This window comes from Homo sapiens, chromosome 6, assembly GCF_000001405.40.
Source record: "Homo sapiens chromosome 6, GRCh38.p14 Primary Assembly".
Taxonomy (NCBI): Eukaryota; Metazoa; Chordata; class Mammalia; order Primates; family Hominidae; genus Homo; species Homo sapiens.
Genome location: NC_000006.12, coordinates 110415595 through 110431768, shown reverse-complemented (window position 1 = coordinate 110431768; position 16174 = coordinate 110415595). Strand labels below are relative to the sequence as shown.

The 16174-nt window shown below is 44.1% G+C and overlaps 1 protein-coding gene and 1 long non-coding RNA gene across 12 annotated transcripts in view; one reads left to right on the top strand and one right to left on the bottom strand.

Moving 5' to 3' along the window:
- Positions 1 to 7082, top strand: part of SLC22A16 (solute carrier family 22 member 16) — a 51927-nt gene extending 44845 nt beyond the window's left edge. For 8 of the 11 annotated variants that reach the window (XM_011536211.3, XM_011536208.4, XM_011536206.3 and 5 more), the window contains 2 exons: positions 499 to 598; positions 6684 to 7082. In XM_011536211.3, coding sequence (XP_011534513.1) covers positions 499 to 598; positions 6684 to 6896 — 313 coding nt within the window. In that variant the 3' untranslated portion in view covers positions 6897 to 7082. Of the gene's footprint in view, positions 1 to 498; positions 599 to 6386 lie in introns of those variants that run through there. The other 3 variants (XM_047419435.1, XM_011536205.3, XM_011536210.1) reach the window with 2 other exon arrangements.
- Positions 7083 to 11638: 4556 nt separating this feature from the next.
- Positions 11639 to 16125, bottom strand: LOC105377936 (uncharacterized). Its single transcript, XR_942856.2, has 2 exons — positions 15982 to 16125; positions 11639 to 12221 (listed from the first exon to the last, which is right to left on the bottom strand). It is a non-coding gene; the product is annotated as an uncharacterized LOC105377936 (long non-coding RNA).
- Between the last annotated feature and the right edge of the window lie 49 nt (positions 16126 to 16174).

Genomic DNA, 16174 nt, shown 5'->3' with positions numbered 1-16174 from the left:
GTAGGTATTGTGATTCTTGAAAAATTTAAGTAAAATTATTTTCAAGCTTACGTTTTTTTACGGTCATGTGTTGCTTAATGATGGGCACCGTTTTGAGAAATGCATCCTTTGGTGATTTCGTGGTTGTCAGAACATCATAGAGTGAACTTACACAAACCTAGATGGCCCAGCATACTACACACCCAGGCTATGTGGCACAGCTTATTCCTCCTCGGCTGTGACCCTCCACAGCATGTTACTGCACTGAATACTGCAGGCAGTCGTAACACAATGGTAAATATTTGTGTATCTAAACATATTGAAAGATAGAAAAAGTCGAGTAAAAATGTGCTATTATAATCTCGCGGGGCCACCGAGGTTGACTGAAACGTTGTAATGCGCTGCCTGACCACCCTTATCCTTGCTGGGGAGCGTGGGAAAGGAGCTGCAGGAAGCAGGTCCCTCAATCCCTGGGTCACTTGTGCCTTACTTGTCTCAGCCTCTCTCCTCTGTTTCCAGATCGCTGGCTGTGGGAAGCGGCAGCATGGTGTGTCGCCTGGCCAGCATCCTGGCGCCGTTCTCTGTGGACCTCAGCAGCATTTGGATCTTCATACCACAGGTGTGCTTCAGTTTGCAGACCCTCCCCAAGGGGGCACGGAGGCAGTTTCTAATTGCCTATTAGCAACTTCTCTATTGTTATTTACTGAAAGCCAGTACATCATTTCCTAATGGGGTTTGTAGAAACAACCCCATTACCAACAGCTGGCCAGTTGGTGAGTAGGGTGGTGGCTGCTGTGCGATTGGCCATTGGTGGCCTTCCACCACTGCTGAGCTGTTCATTACAACTCTGCCTGCCACAAAAGGGCATGTCCTCACCCTTGCCTGGAAGCCAGGCCTGGGGAAGGGAGAGCTCTGGTCTCTGTCCTCCTCAGGGCATCTGCCCCCACCCGCTGGCCTGGCCTTGCCTCTGTGTTCCCACTGAGTGCCTGCTGGGCAAGGCGAATTCTGGGGGCTGCCTGCTCCAAAAAGATTATGTGATGCCTAATGGAGAGCATTAGGAACCCATGGTTCTCAGTTGACCTGAACCTGAGGGGCTCCAGCAGTGTGAGCCATTTGCCTGGCTTTCAAAGAGTGAGAGCAGGGACGCTTAGTTTGCAGATCCTCAGGTAGGGGCTGAGAGGCTGGGAAGGCACGTGAGCACTGCTGCACCTGGCTTTAGTGGACTCTTCTGCTCAGGAAGAAGATGCGGGATGGGTGGAGGGCAGGTGTGACTTGCCAGCCTGCAGCTCCTCCCTCTCCCTCCCCTCCAGTGCCTCCTTTCTCTTTTCTGATTGCCCCTTAGACTCAGGCTGCCGGATTCCCTCCCAGCCTCCTCCCCGCCCCCTGCATGCATCACCTCTCATCCTGGCTTCAGGCGAGGATTTCCTCCAGCCTCATGTACATTCTCCCTGGATGTTTCACCACAAACTCAATGTCTCCCAAGTAGAACTGGCCAGTGACACCTGTCTTCCACTTTTGGTTAAGGATAGGTCAGTGGCCTCAAGCATGACACTGTGGCATCGGCTTCTTATTCATCCTGTTCTTTCATCACCAAATCCTCACATTCTCCTTCAAAACTACCCCTGCATGCCTGGTCCCAGTGCCTCCCAGTCTTCTCCTTGCGCTTCATCCCCCACCCTGTCTGGGTAGCACAGAAGGCACCATGGCCATGACCCAGTGCCCCTGTCAGCTTCAGAATAAAAGTCCAAACTCAGCTGATATCCAGGGCTTTTCCCGATTGACCCCCTGCACAGCTCCCCTGTTCTATTCCTCATGCAGCTTCCCCTCCTCTCCAGACTCAGCCCCACTGCAAGCCTTCCCTTCTCCTCCCTGTCCTCATCCCACCTCCTCCCCTTCCATGCCACTGCCCAAACGGCCCCTCCAAAGACAGCGCTCCTCTCTCATGTACCTGTTAAGTAGCCTTCCAGGTATCCGCTTTCCAGGAGGCCAGCCAGATCTAGTGACCCCGCCTCTCCTTTTCTCAAGCATGTCTGTACAGCATTTAGTGGGTGCCTCTTTCAGTTGCTGTCGCAGTGTGGCTTTATTATTTGTGCGTGTGTCTTCATCGCCCCAGTCAGGCTGTTGTGCTTTGCAGAGCAGGACATTTGCATCCCCACAGCTGGGCCTAGCCAAGTGTTTCCCTCAGCTTGTGTGCCACCCATGCTGTCATTCACCTGCTATTTTAAATCAAATAGATTGACTTTTGGAAATTAGCTTTGTCCTAAACAATAATATCAGTGAAGTCATGGGTGTTATACTAATTATGTGTTTTTCTAAAAGACACTAACGTAATCTCACAAGTAATAAAACAGTGCTTGGTATCCCCTGGAGTTGCCTTGTACACACAGCAGGTACACATACGGCTCTTCGGGAATCGCTGGCTTGGCATGAGTGTCTCCCATGTCCCCGGAGCAGGCGCTCAGTAAAGCGCTTGGATGTGCCATTGGGGTGTTAGATCCCAGCCACTTTCTCAGACTGACTCTGAGGTTAAGAAACCATGTGGGCTGTGTGGGAGGTGTTTTGGGGGAGTCTACCACCCTTTTTAGGTCATGAACTTTTCTAGAAGAATCTCCTTTGTGCTAGCACTTGTTTTCCTTATTATTTTTTTTCAAAAAAGATAAAATGAGAAAGTGTTTATTAAAATAATAAGTTGAAACATGCAAATATAAAATAGATAAATTTATAAAAGGTAATTACCAGAAATAAAACCAAATAAATATATTTTTAATGGATTTCTGTAAGGCTCAATTAAGGACTACGGACTCAGAAGGGATCTCTAATTTTATTTAACAGATATTTAAACAAGCTCCTTTTATTTTTATTATTCTTCTGAGACAGAGTCTTGCTCTGTCGACCAGGCGGGAGTGCAGTGGTCTGATCCCAGCTCACTGCAACCTCCACCTCCCAGGTTCAAAAGATTCTCCCGCCTCAGCCTCCCAAGAAGCTGGGACTACAGGCGTGCGCCACCAAGGCTGGCTAATTTTTAAAATATTTTTTAGTAGAGACGGGGTTTCACTATGTTGGCCAAGCTGGTCTCGAACTCCTGACCTCAGGTGATCTGCCCATCTCGGCCTCCCAAAGTGCTGGGATTACAGGCATAAACCACCATGCCCTGCCTAAACAAGCTCTTTTTGAACATGCTTTACAAAAATTAGTCTTCATATAATGCAGATACTGTTGTTCTCTTCATTTTACAGATGAGGAGACTGATGGACAGAAAGTAGTTATTAGCCCAGGGTCACGCGCCTTAAAGGTGACAGAGCTGGGATTTGAACCCAAATACCATGCTCCTTTGCCTTTTACACAAGGTCCAACAAACAATCTATACAAAAGTGAGCACAGAGCAGTCAGCTCCTTGTCCAGCCTGTCCCTGAGTGGCCCATCCCTTCTCTAAGACAGCTCTGGCCACAGGGTGTGGTGTATATTTATGGAAGTAGTCTGTGAATGTGCTTCCTTTGGATCTAAGGAGTATTACCTATTGTTTGTAATGAGTCAAAAAAAAAATCAGATTTCCCATTAAACTTGTTTATGGATGTCAAACTGCCTGGGGAGCCAGTGTTTTCATTTTGAGAAATGAAAACTCTGATCTGGAAGATGTTTATATTTTCTCTTTTGAAAAGAGGCACATGAAAAATCACTCGTTCTGATGCTTTTGTTATTAACCATTATTTTCTAGTAATCTAAAAAAGGTGGACACGTAATTAGCTTTTTATGTGCTCATTAACTCATTTGGCAATCGTTGACTGAGTGTTGGTTTTGAACTAGCCACCCTGCTAGGTGCTAAGGAGCAGATGAAAGAAATAGCCTGTCTTGAGAGATGTACAGTCTGGTGGGAAGGGCAGGAGAGCAAATCACCACCAGTCCCGAAGAGAAGGGCTGGAGTGGGGAAATGCCAGGTATGGTGATTTAAAAGATACAACAGCAGTAATGATGGAATATTAAGAAACATCTTGTTTTTCAATATATAATAGCAGTAGGGCAGGCGCGGTGGCTCACACAAGTAATCCCACACTTTGGGGGGCCAGGGGTTTGGGACCAGCCTGGCCAATATGGCGACACCCCGTCTCTACTAAAAATACAAATATTAGCCGAGCGTGGTGGTGCGTGCCTGTAGTCCCAGCTACTCGGGAGGCTGAGGCAGGAGAATCGCTTGAACCCGACTGCCTGACTAGTCTTACTACCAAGCTAAGAATATATATATATATGCATGCAGTAATGAGAGCTTACATGTATTGGCTACTTACTGCAGCCAGGCGCTGTTCTAAGTGCCTTTTGCGTAATATTTAATTTCATCCTCTCAACAGTCGTTTGCGACAGATACTATTCTTTCATCCATTTTACAGAAAAGGACTCTGAGGAGCAGAGAGGTTAAGTAACTTGCCCAAAGCCACACAGGTAGCAGGTGGCAAGTACCCAGGCAATGTGGGTATGGAGATTATAAAAGGGTCAAGAACATTTCTTTTTCTTTCTTTCTTTCTTTTTTTTCTTTTTTTTTTTTTTTTTGAGATTGGGTCTCACTCTGTCACTGAGGTTGGAGTGCAGTGGTGCAATCTTGGCTCAATGCAACCTCTGCCTCCTGGGCTCAAGAGATTCTCCCACCTCAGCCTCCCAAGTAGCTGGGACCACAGGCATGTGCCCCCACACCTGGCTAATTTTTATATTTTTCATAGAGAATTTCACCATATTGCCCAGGCTGGTCTCAAACTCCTGACCTCACGTGATCCGCCAGCCTTAGCCTCCCAAAGTCTTGGGATTACAAATGTAAGCCACTGCACCCAGTCTTTGAGAAGTTTTTTTTTTAAGACGGAGTTTCACTCTTGTTGCCCAGGCTGGAGTTCAGTGGCACAATCTTGGCTCACTGCAACCTCTGCCTACTGGGTTCAAGCAGTTCTCATACCTCAGCCTCCCAAGTAGCTGGGATTACAGGCATGTGCCACCTCGCCCGGCTAATTTTGTAATTTTAGTAGAGACAGAGTTTCACCATGTTGGCCAGGCTGGTCTCGAACTCCTGACCTCGGGTGATCCACCCACCTCAAGCCTCCTGAAATGCTGGGGTTATAGGCTTGAGCCACCATGCCCAGCCCTTTGAGAGCTTTTCTTTTTGCCAAGGGAAAATAGCCAGCAGAAAGGAAAAGATCAAAAATATGTGAGAAGGAGGTTGGACGATGGATGGAGGGAGATCTCTGAGGAGGAGGTGAGAGGCAGTGGGGTCTGGAGAGTGTGAAAGGATCCGCCTGGCCTCCCTCCAGGAGGAGGGAGGGGTGGGAAAGGGGGGACTTATTTCAAAGTTTGGTTTGGGGTTTGGGGGATTGTGGGGAGCTGGTCAGGGAAGCAGGAGTGAGGAGGAGGTGGAGAGGTATGATTTGTTTCCTGCCTGACTAGGCTTACTACCAAGCTAAGAAGAAAAATTCCATTCTGTTCTGGATCTTCCATTTGATTCTATTTTGCTTTTAGACTTCCTCAGTGTTTTTCAGATCCTGACTTAGGGCTCTTCTGGGGTTTCTAGATCACTGGATATACTTGCCGTGTCTTGAGAGACCAGAAAACGTCTTTAAAATTCCTTTGGAATGTCACTTGAAATTCTGCTACTGCGTCTGGGTTAAGCTTACTCATATATTTCGTATATTTCTAAGAATTAGGTTATCAGTGCTCTGCAAAACAAAATGAAAAACTGCCTTCCCAGGTCTCGTCTGTTATGGATGTGATCTGGCATCACTTCACACTTGCTCTATGTATTTTATGATTCTCATTTTCAGAGGCTATAAACATACCAAGTGTGTAGATTTATCAGAAAAGCCACACCTTAATTTATTTTTATAGGGTCTTTCCAGCAAATATATTTTGCTAAAGGAGTTTGAATTAAGTAAGGACAGATTGTGTTTTTACGGATTGTATAGAGATTTAGCTCTGTTAATAAAAACCACCCAGCATCTTCATGATGATAAACAGAGAATAGATATGCAGACTTTAATTTTTAATGTGACCTGCATTTTTAAAAGCAAACGCCTTGGCGCTAGTCTAAAAGGCTGCCTTTTATGTGTCAAAATCTGGAAAATAAAGAAATCACACCGAACTGTATAGGAAATTATATGGATCCCTGCCCCATAAAGTAGCAATTTGTTTTCACTGCCTTTGTTTAGCTTCCCCCAAATTCCGTAGATTCTGGTTGATTGAAACCTGTTTTCATTCATTCATTCCCTATCATTTACTGAACCCTGATAGTGTACTGATTATTGGGGCAGGGACAGGGTTGACTAAGACAGTCCCTGCTTGGCATGTCCTGACCCAGGGCTCAGTTACTTGTCTTCTCCACAAGATTCTGGGGTCTGGAAAGATGGGGTAAGTGTCTTTTTTCTTTCTGACCACAGCTCCTAGGACAGCACCTTCAGGAGTAATAATGCAGGCAGTAGCTGGCAATTAAGGAGGCACTCCATGGTGGGTCATGAAGGAATGAATGAGTGAGTGATGAGATTAAACCTCGTTGATGAGGAAAAGAACTCGAAGTCCAGCACAAGTAACCAAAGATCTCACCGAGTAATCACAGTGACAACTGTTATGTCAAATTCAAATCCATTACCCTCTGAAAACAGTTAGGAAATTCTATTCTCCGAAGGGTTCGTTCCTTTCTTGATGTGTCACTTATCATTATTTTTAATTCCTTCTAGTTGTTTGTTGGGACTATGGCCCTCCTGAGTGGAGTGTTAACACTAAAGCTTCCAGAAACCCTTGGGAAACGGCTAGCAACTACTTGGGAGGAGGCTGCAAAACTGGAGTCAGAGAATGAAAGCAAGTCAAGCAAATTACTTCTCACAACTAATAATAGTGGGCTGGAAAAAACGGAAGCGATTACCCCCAGGGATTCTGGTCTTGGTGAATAAATGTGCCATGCCTGCTGTCTAGCACCTGAAATATTATTTACCCTAATGCCTTTGTATTAGAGGAATCTTATTCTCATCTCCCATATGTTGTTTGTATGTCTTTTTAATAAATTTTGTAAGAAAATTTTAAAGCAAATATGTTATAAAAGAAATAAAAACTAAGATGAAAATTCTCAGTTTTAAAAACTGCTTTCTTATTGCTGCAAAATATTTTTCAACATTTGTTTTTCTATGTAGTTGATTCTCAACCTTTCCCCACCACCCCCCTACCATGCATGCCAGAGGGAGTTCACCTATTTCTTTTTTTTCTTTTTTCTTTTTTTTTTTTTTTTGAGATGGAGTCTCGCTCTGTCGCTCAGGCTGGAGTGCAGTGGCGGGATCTCGGCTCACTGCAAGCTCCGCCTCCCGGGTTCACACCATTCTCCTGCCTCAGCCTCCCGGAGTTCACCTATTTCTATCCCGCCAGTGCCACCCCTCCACGGCTTCCCAAAAGAAGGGGCATGTGAGAATGCATTTCTTTTGACAAAGCTCCTTGCAGATTCTATTTCTGATATTTTTTCCCCTCTTATGAGAATCATAGCTCTAAAAACAAGTCTTATTCAGAAATGCCCTCTCAAAAAATGCTTGCCTTCACAATTAAACCATAAAAAATCAGAGCTACAAAAATGATGCCGTGCTTCCCAGAACCTTGAGCCAAGAAGGCTTGAATGTGCAGACAGTTGTGCTTGTGTTTGGTTCAGATAAGGGACACACACCTGCCAGGCTCCAAGAGTGAGCTTTCTAGTCTGGTATTCTTATTTTTCCCAAATTTACCAAATTCTCCCTGTAAGTCTCCTTTACAGCCCACAGAGGCTATGACTTTTTAACCCACTGCAAACTTTTTCAGTTGGCAGATCATCCAGGAAACTGACTTTAAGTACCATCTGGATTTGTTGCCATTGTAAAAATGTTTGTAAGTATTCTTGCCTTTAAAAAAATAATTTACATGAAGATTTTACTCTTTTGTTTTACTATACTTTTTTTCCCAACTCTACTTAAAACCATAGTCTTTCAAAAACATTAATATCCTGGACACTTCAACTGCAAATTATGTAATCATCTTATCTGTGGAAGAATGCATTTCAGATTTACAGTCAGTTTCCCATAGGTTTTGGGTTTTTCCTTACTGTGGTTTCATCATAATTTCATTTTTTATTGTTGTTGCTCTTGAGATTTTGCTGTTAGGTATGTCTTATATCCTGCATTTGAATTGGTGAAACATTAGCATTATCTGCAGAGGAAAGTAAAAGAAGGCAGTTATATAGATGTTGTGAGTTTGAAAAGCATTTCCAAGGGGGAAAAAAAGGAGGGATTTAACCTGAATTATTGATTTTTTATATGAGTTTAGTTCCTTGGGTAATTGCTTAGTTCTTCACTTGGTCTTTCCATTAACAAAGGAAAAATAAAGCCAAAAACTTTTCTTCCTTTATAAAAGAAAATAACATATATAGGATTTTATGGAGAAAAAGGAGGAAGACATTTATTGAGCCTTTATCTTATTTCTTATTTTGTCTCTTTTTTCTTTTCCCTCAGCCCATTTTTCTACTGCCATTAAAATTTTTCCTCTTAGTTAACATTTGATACTTTCTTTCTTTCCTTTTTTGAGACAAGGTCTAGCTCTATCCCCCAGGCTGGAATGCAGTGGGCTCACTGCAACTTCCGCCTCCTGGGCTCAAGCGATCCTCCCACCTCAACCTCCCGAATAGCTAGGACTGCAGGCACCTGCCATCATGTCCAGCTAATTTTTGTATTTTTTGTAGGATTTGTATTTTTTGACAGGATTTCACCATGTTGCTCAGGCTAGTCTCAAACTCCTGAGATCATGCAATCCACCAGTCTTGGCCTCTTGAAGTGCTGGGATTACACAGGTGGGAGACACCACGCCTGGCAACACTTTCTTGACTTTACTTTTATATTCTGTTAGTTTGCTAAGGTGATCATAGCAAAATACCACAGACTGAGTGGCTTAAACAAGAGAAATTATTTCTTCACAGTTCTGAAGGCTGGAAGCTCCAGATCATGGTGCCAGCATGGTTGGTTTCCTCTGACACTTCTCAGGCTAACAGCTGGTTGCCCTCCTGCTGTCTTTTAACATGGTCATCTATTTGTGTATACACACCCCTGGCTGGTATCTTTCCTTCTTCTTTTAAGGCCATCAGTCATATTGGACTAGGGCTTCACTCCAATGACCTCATTTTAACTTAATCACCATTTGAAGATCTCATCTCCATATATGGTTGCATTCTGAGGATTGAGATTTCAACATATGAATCTTGAGGCATTTCTTTACATTTTTATTGCCCACTGTCTTTGTCAGCTTGAGCTGCTATTCAAAAAATACCACAATCTGGTCAGCTTAAACAACAGAAATGTATTTCTTACAGCTCTTGAGGCTAGGAAGTCCAACATTAATGTGACAGCAAGGTAGGTTTTATTCCAGGGCTTTCTCTCTTGACTTGTAGGTGGCTGCCATCTCACTGTGTGCTCACAGGACCATTTCTTTGTATGCACAGATGTGGAGAGACAGCAAGCTCTCTGGTGTGTCTCTCATCATAAGGGCACTAATCCCATACAAGGGCCCCACCCTTAGGACCTCATCTAACTCTAATTACCTCCAAAAGACCCATCTTCCAATATCATCACATTGATGGTGGGTAGGGCTTCAACATACGAATTTTCAGATCATGACATCTACATATGTATGACTGTATCAGTCAATGTCTAGTCAGGAAAACAGAAACCACTGGAGATAATTCAAACAGAGAGGAATTTCATGCACAGTTAGTTATAAAAGTGTAGGAAAGACTGGTGGAACAAAATGCAGAAGTTACCTAGGGATCAGAAAGCCGCTACCATGGCTGGGTTGGGAGCCCACAAGCCTGCACTTTCTGCTTCCACTGCTCGAGCTGAAACCACATTTCCGCTGCTGACCAGAAACCTAGGAGCCCACACCCCCACTGATTCTACTGAAACTGCCTATTATGCTTTCAACTGGAAGGGGTTGAATTTTTAGATTAAGTTAGGGAAAATTCACTCTTTTTTCTGGTATTGACTCTTCTATCCATTATCATGGGTTATCTCTCTCCATTTACTTAGGTCATCATTAATATCTTTTAATGAAGTATAATTTTTTCCATAAAGGTTGTACATGTTTTTTGTTATATTCTTATATGTAAATTTCCATTATAATTAGAAATGAGAAGTTTCTAATAATTATATTTTGTGACTGTATATTGCTGGCATAAAATACATTGATTTTATATGTTGATTTTGTATCCATCAACCTTGATTAAAGTAGTTTTAATTCAAAAGGAAAAAATTTTCTTTATTGGGGCAGGGTGCAGTGGCTTATGCCCATAATTCCAGCACTTTGGGAGGCTGAGGCAGGTGGATCACTTGAGGCCAGGAATTCGAGACCAGCCTGGCCAACATGGTGAAACCCCATCTCTACTGAAAATACAAAAAAACTAGCCAGGCATGGTGGTGTACACCTGTAAGCCCAGCTACTCAGGAGGCTGAGGCAGGAGAATTCCTCAAACCTTGGAGGCAGAGGTTGTAGTGAACCGAGATCATACCATTACACTCCAGCCTGGGCAACTCTGTCTAAAAAAAAAAAAAAAAAAAAAAAAAAAAAATTTCTTTTTCTTTACTGGAAGAAAAATTAGGCTTTTTGTTTGTTGTAAAAATTCACAAATGTTTATCGTGCAGGAAGCCAAACATACTTTGTTCCTTCAGCATTTCTTAATATGTGTAACCTTCTGATTTTATACTTGGAAAATGGTGATGATCTATAATAGTTGGAACCTAGTCATAACACATCCGATCTGTCTCTGATTGCAAATATTTCAAGGAGTACTTTACCATAGCATTACAATGAATGGAGGACAAACCACACACAAGTAGGTAAGATTCAGATAGGTGACCTTGTTTCTCAGTTCTATGTCACTGAGGTTAATGCACTAACTTGACTTTGACAGGCTACGAAGTGTGAGAGGCAATGGAAGCCTGGAAATAAAAAAGCCCTGACTATAAGCATTCCTGCTTAAGCAAACCAATCTCTCTTTACCCCAATCTTCTCATTTGGAAATTCAGGATTATCATACAATGTCCCTCTGGGAATGGGAAAATTAAATGAAATAATATATCAACACCATTTAACGCCACTCTGCACAGTCCCGATATTTTACAAGGCTATTTCTCCATTCACTGTATGTGATTCCACCCTCATTAGGTGTCCTGCCCAGTCTTGGTCTTGGCCAGTGGGCATGGGGGCCCCGTCTATCAGTGCTCCACATGTGTCGCTGTCCTGACTGTGCCCTACCACACACTGTTGTCCTCCCTCATGGACTCTGCAGTTTAGCTACCTGGAGATACTTCTGCAGTTTCCCTTTTGCTCCAGTGGTTAGTTCCAGTCCATGATAGCTGTAGGCAAGACTCACTGAAGCTAATGACGCATAAACTTCAGGCTCCTTCAGTTGGACAGGCTCCTGTGATGGAGCGTAGTAATGGGTCCACTTGGACATAAGCTTTCACAGAATTTTGTACATTTTGCAAAAGTAAGATCTAGTCACTACAATCAGCTGAGACCATCATATTTTTCCACTTGGTTTTCCCTTCTATCACATTCCTCCTCTGCCAGATGTTATCAAAGTGGTCACAGGCATTCTTTTCTTTTGTGATTTTGTATTTTTTTCCTCTTAAAAGGGCTCTTGAAACTGTACAAACTTCAGACCCCACAAAAGCTGAATCTTTCCCCTGAATCACTGTTAAAAGGTGTGTTGTTAGGGAGGTTCATACTCAAAATATGCTCCGAATGTACTCAATTAAATGCTCTGTTCTGAGGGGCCCACCTGTGCCCTTTCTCTCATTCCTATCAAATATGTAACGAAAACATACTAAGTGCAAAATGGTGTAGGCAAAGCAGGTACTTAATAAATTCTTGTATATGGTGAAGAGGAGTATTTTCTTATCGAAGATGGTAAAGCTGACTATGGCAGCCAACGTCTTTGGCAACTTCCCCCAACAGAATGTCTGGAAGTTTCGATGTTTGTTGTTTTACTTGAATTTGCCAGAAGTCAGTGATGGCTGCTGTTTTTATGTCTGAAGTCTACAGTGCACCAACGTTTCACTGGCAACTGCTTGTTCTCTAAGTAAACTTTTTTTTAATTCCCAGCCTCTCTCTGGGCTCACCCATGCCAGTTGGTGTCAGCCATTCTGCTGAAATTGAGGATCTGAAGAACATCTTAAGCAATTCTTGGGTAAAAGATCCACTGTCAGAGATTTTATCTGTAGGAACAAGTTGGGGGAGCAGGTGGTCAGCATGCTACCTGATTCTTGATTAGTTAGCAGTTTCAGGGGAGCAGGTCAAAAGTACACCAACCCACCCTGGTCAATGTTTAACTAGAATTCTCCATAAAGCCTGGCTTATAATCTCATTAACCCTATGAGGACGATTTCACTGTCCTACTTCCCTGCCCCAAACTGCTGTACACATGGGAATCCCTGGCCCCTGAGCCTGATATCTTCAATAGTCTTCTGATGAACGCAGGCTTAGGTCCTGCATTTACTGGCCACAGACACACCAGCAAGGCTAACACCCTGCAAGCCAGAAACACCCATGGAGAGCACAGCAAGAGGGGGAGGGTGGCTAGAGAGACCCTAAATGTGCTGCAGAGGTGAGGCCCTGGGGACCTCTGCAGCCCAAGTTTAAAAGTCTCCGAAGAAGCGTTGGGAAGATGATGAAGCCCAGCTCCCCTGCAGTCTCAGGGAGATCACGTCAACACTTCAGACCCCAACCACTAACCTGGAAAACAACACTAGATTCTCCCCAGGTGGTTCCTGAGGCCCCTTTTAGAAGTTACCCTCAATGATACCTAAATCAGTTTTCCCATCCATTTTCTGAAGGACCCTTCACTTAAGTCATAGTGCTAGAGCTCTGCGTTTAAAAAAAAAAAAAGGATTTATTAGTCCTATCTGTATAGACTCTGCACTACTACAGAGAAGCTTTCTTTCTGGGTTTCATTTCTGAGTATGTCCTCCTCTTCTTGCTTTTCAGGAAAACATGGAGTCCTAACCTGGGCGGGAGGAAGAAAGAGCCTTCTCAGATCTCTTCCGTGGCTCCCATTACTTTTTGAACACAGTCTTGCATCCTAGCCAGATTTCCAGCACTTTCACACCCTGGTCTTGCACAAACCTCCCCATGAACCCCCTTCTCTTTCCTCAGGTCACTTTGAACTTCCTGCCTCTGTGGCTTTGTCTCTCCAGAGATTTTTCTCCCTCCTCTTGTTTGTCCATCGAAATCCCACTGATTGATTAGGGCCTTCCTCACTTCCCATGTACGCTCCTGGACTAGCCACTTGGGTCCACTGTACTCCTCTCTCTCCTGATCCTTCCCAGCACCTGCAGTATGTGCTGTTGGTTAGAGGACAGTCTTATTCTGCCTTGTTTCCTTTCTTGAGGGAGCAAACATCTCAGAAGTTCTTAAATCTTTTATAGCCCTTGCAGTATGTCTTGGACAAAGTGGCTGCTCCATAAATGTTTGTTGATTGATTTTTATAGTAGGTGCTCAATAAAATATGTATACCACCTGTGATACTGGGAACTATGTATTTGGTCTTCATTCCCATTTCCTGACATATAGCTCCTAAAACCCTTGGAATCCTCAGAGTGATAAGAGTGTCTTTTGTATGCTAATGAGATATCTGGTGGCTGGAGCCCTGTAGTAAGCTTCAGGATGGGAGCTGGTCATCTGGAAATGACAAGACATGATTAGAGAGTGGGGACTTTCAGCCCTATCCCCAACCTCTAGGGAGAAGGGGTTGAAGGTTAAGTTGGTCACTAGTGGCCAATGTTTTAACCATCATGTCTACATAATAAAGCTTTCATTAAAAAAAAAAAAGGAAAAACACAAGACTGTGTTTAGGGAGCTTCCAGATGGCTGAATATGTGGAGGTTCCTGGACGTTGTGCCCCCAGAGAGGGCACGGGAGCTCCTTGCCCGTTCCCATATGCCTAGCCCTGGCCCTCTCTTCCACATGGCTCTTCATCTGCATCCTTTGTAATATCCATATTAATAAATGGGTAAAGGTAAGCAAAGTGTTCTTTTGAGTTCTGGAGCCACTCTAGCAAATTGAACCATTATTAATTGAACCTGAAAAGGGGCTTGTAGGGACCCCGATTTATAGCCCACCAGTCAGAAACCCACAACCTGGGGCTTGTGATTGGCATCCAAAGTAGGGTAAGTCTTGTGGGACTGAGCCCTTAACCTGTGGGATCTGACACTATCTCCAGGTAGCTGGTGTCAGAATTGAATTGAATTAGAGGACATGCAGCTGAAGTGTCTGCTAGGGAATCTGCAGAATGGGATGCTTGGTGTGTAGGGAGACAACCCCCACACACCTGGTCACAGAAAGTGTTCTGTATTCAGTGACTGTGACAGTATTGAGCATAGCCAGAGAAAAAGTTGCTTTTCCCCACCACCCCCTCACCGGCCCTCAGACCACCTTACAAAGAATTGTACATATCTCAACTTATCAGAGACCTACAACAACTTGCAAGGGATTCTTAGTTCATTCTCAGTTTTCAGATGGGCAATCCAACTCAGAAGTCAGGTGATTTGCTCAAGGTAAAAATGCAGGTCTCTTGAAACCAAAGTTTGTGTTTTGGTTAAGGGCTTGAGCTTTGGCTGGGCACAGTGGCTCAAGCCTGTAATCCCAGCACTTTGGGAAGCCGAGGCGGGCAGATCACAAGGTCAGGAGATCGAGACCATCCTGGCTAACATGTTGAAACCCCGTCTCTGCTAAAAATACAAAAAATTAGCCAGGTGTGGTGGCGGGCGCCTGTAGTCCCAGCTACTAGAGAAGCTGAGGCAGGAGAATGGCATGAAACCAGGAAGCAGAGCTTGCAGTTAGCTGAGATAGAGCCACTGCACTCCCGCCTGGGTGACAGAGCGAGACTCCATCTCAAAAAAAAAAAAAAAAAAAAAAAAGAGCTTGAGCCTTGACGTCAGATATCCAGACTGGATTTTACCATTTAAGAGACCCTGGACCCTTCCTTACTGTCTTGGAGCCTCAATGTACTCATATACAAAATGGGGATAGTGATAATAGTACCTACTTCATAGGGTGGTTGTGATATATGATGTCATACATGTGTCTAGCACATGGTTAATGCTACATATACATTATTGAAAATATTATTGTCACTAATTTGACACATCACACTGCCTCCCTGGAAACAAACTTGTTAACTGTGCCTCATGCCTAGAGCTCAGTAGACACTCATCAAATATTGAATCCCTTCTTTGAATATGTGGGCTAAATCAGGGATCCCAAATCCCCAGGCCACAGACCACTACCAGTCCGTGGCCTGTTAGGAACTGGCCTCACAGCAGGAGGTGAGCCGTGGGTGAGCAAGCAAAGCTTTGTCTTCATTTATACCCACTCCCTATCATTTGCATTACTGCCTGAGCTCTGCCTCTTGTCAGATCAGCTGAGGCACTAGATTCTTATAGGAGCACAAACCTACTGTAAACTGCGCACACAAGGGATCCAGTTTGTGTGCTCTTTATGAGAATCTAATGCCTGATGATCTGTCACTGCCTCCCATTACTTTCAGAGAAAACCATCTAATTGCAGGAAAACAAGCTCAGGGCTCCCACTAATTCTACATTATGTTGAGTTGTATAATTATTTCATTATATATTACAACGAATAATAATAAAAATAAAGTGCACAGTAAATGTAACACACTTGAATCATCCTGAAACCATCTCCCCATCCCCAGTCTGTGGAAAAATTGTCTTCCATGAAACCAGCCCCTGGTGCCTAAAAGGCTGGGGACTGCTGGGCTAAAGAATCATGTGGTTCTATCCTAGATTATCTCCTGAATAGTGTTTCCAGCTCCAATCAATCAACAACATTACTCAGCCCTCACCCCCTCCTTCCTGCTTCCCCCACCAGCTGACCCAGCAGAGCCAGGCACCCGGCTAACTGTGGGCAGCCAAACGAGGTTGGAAGTTGGACAGGCTCACCCATTATTCACCATACCTACAAATCAGCTGGAGAAAGCCCAGGCTGGCGGCCAGACAGAGGGCTCGTGGGCCAGAAAGGGAAGGGCTTGGCAGAGACAGCGCCATGGAGATGACAGGTTGAGGTCACTTGCTCCTTTCTCCGGGGCAATGGGTGACAGAGACAGCCATGCAGGCCAATGGAAAGGAAGACCAGGGGGAATGTCCTGAAT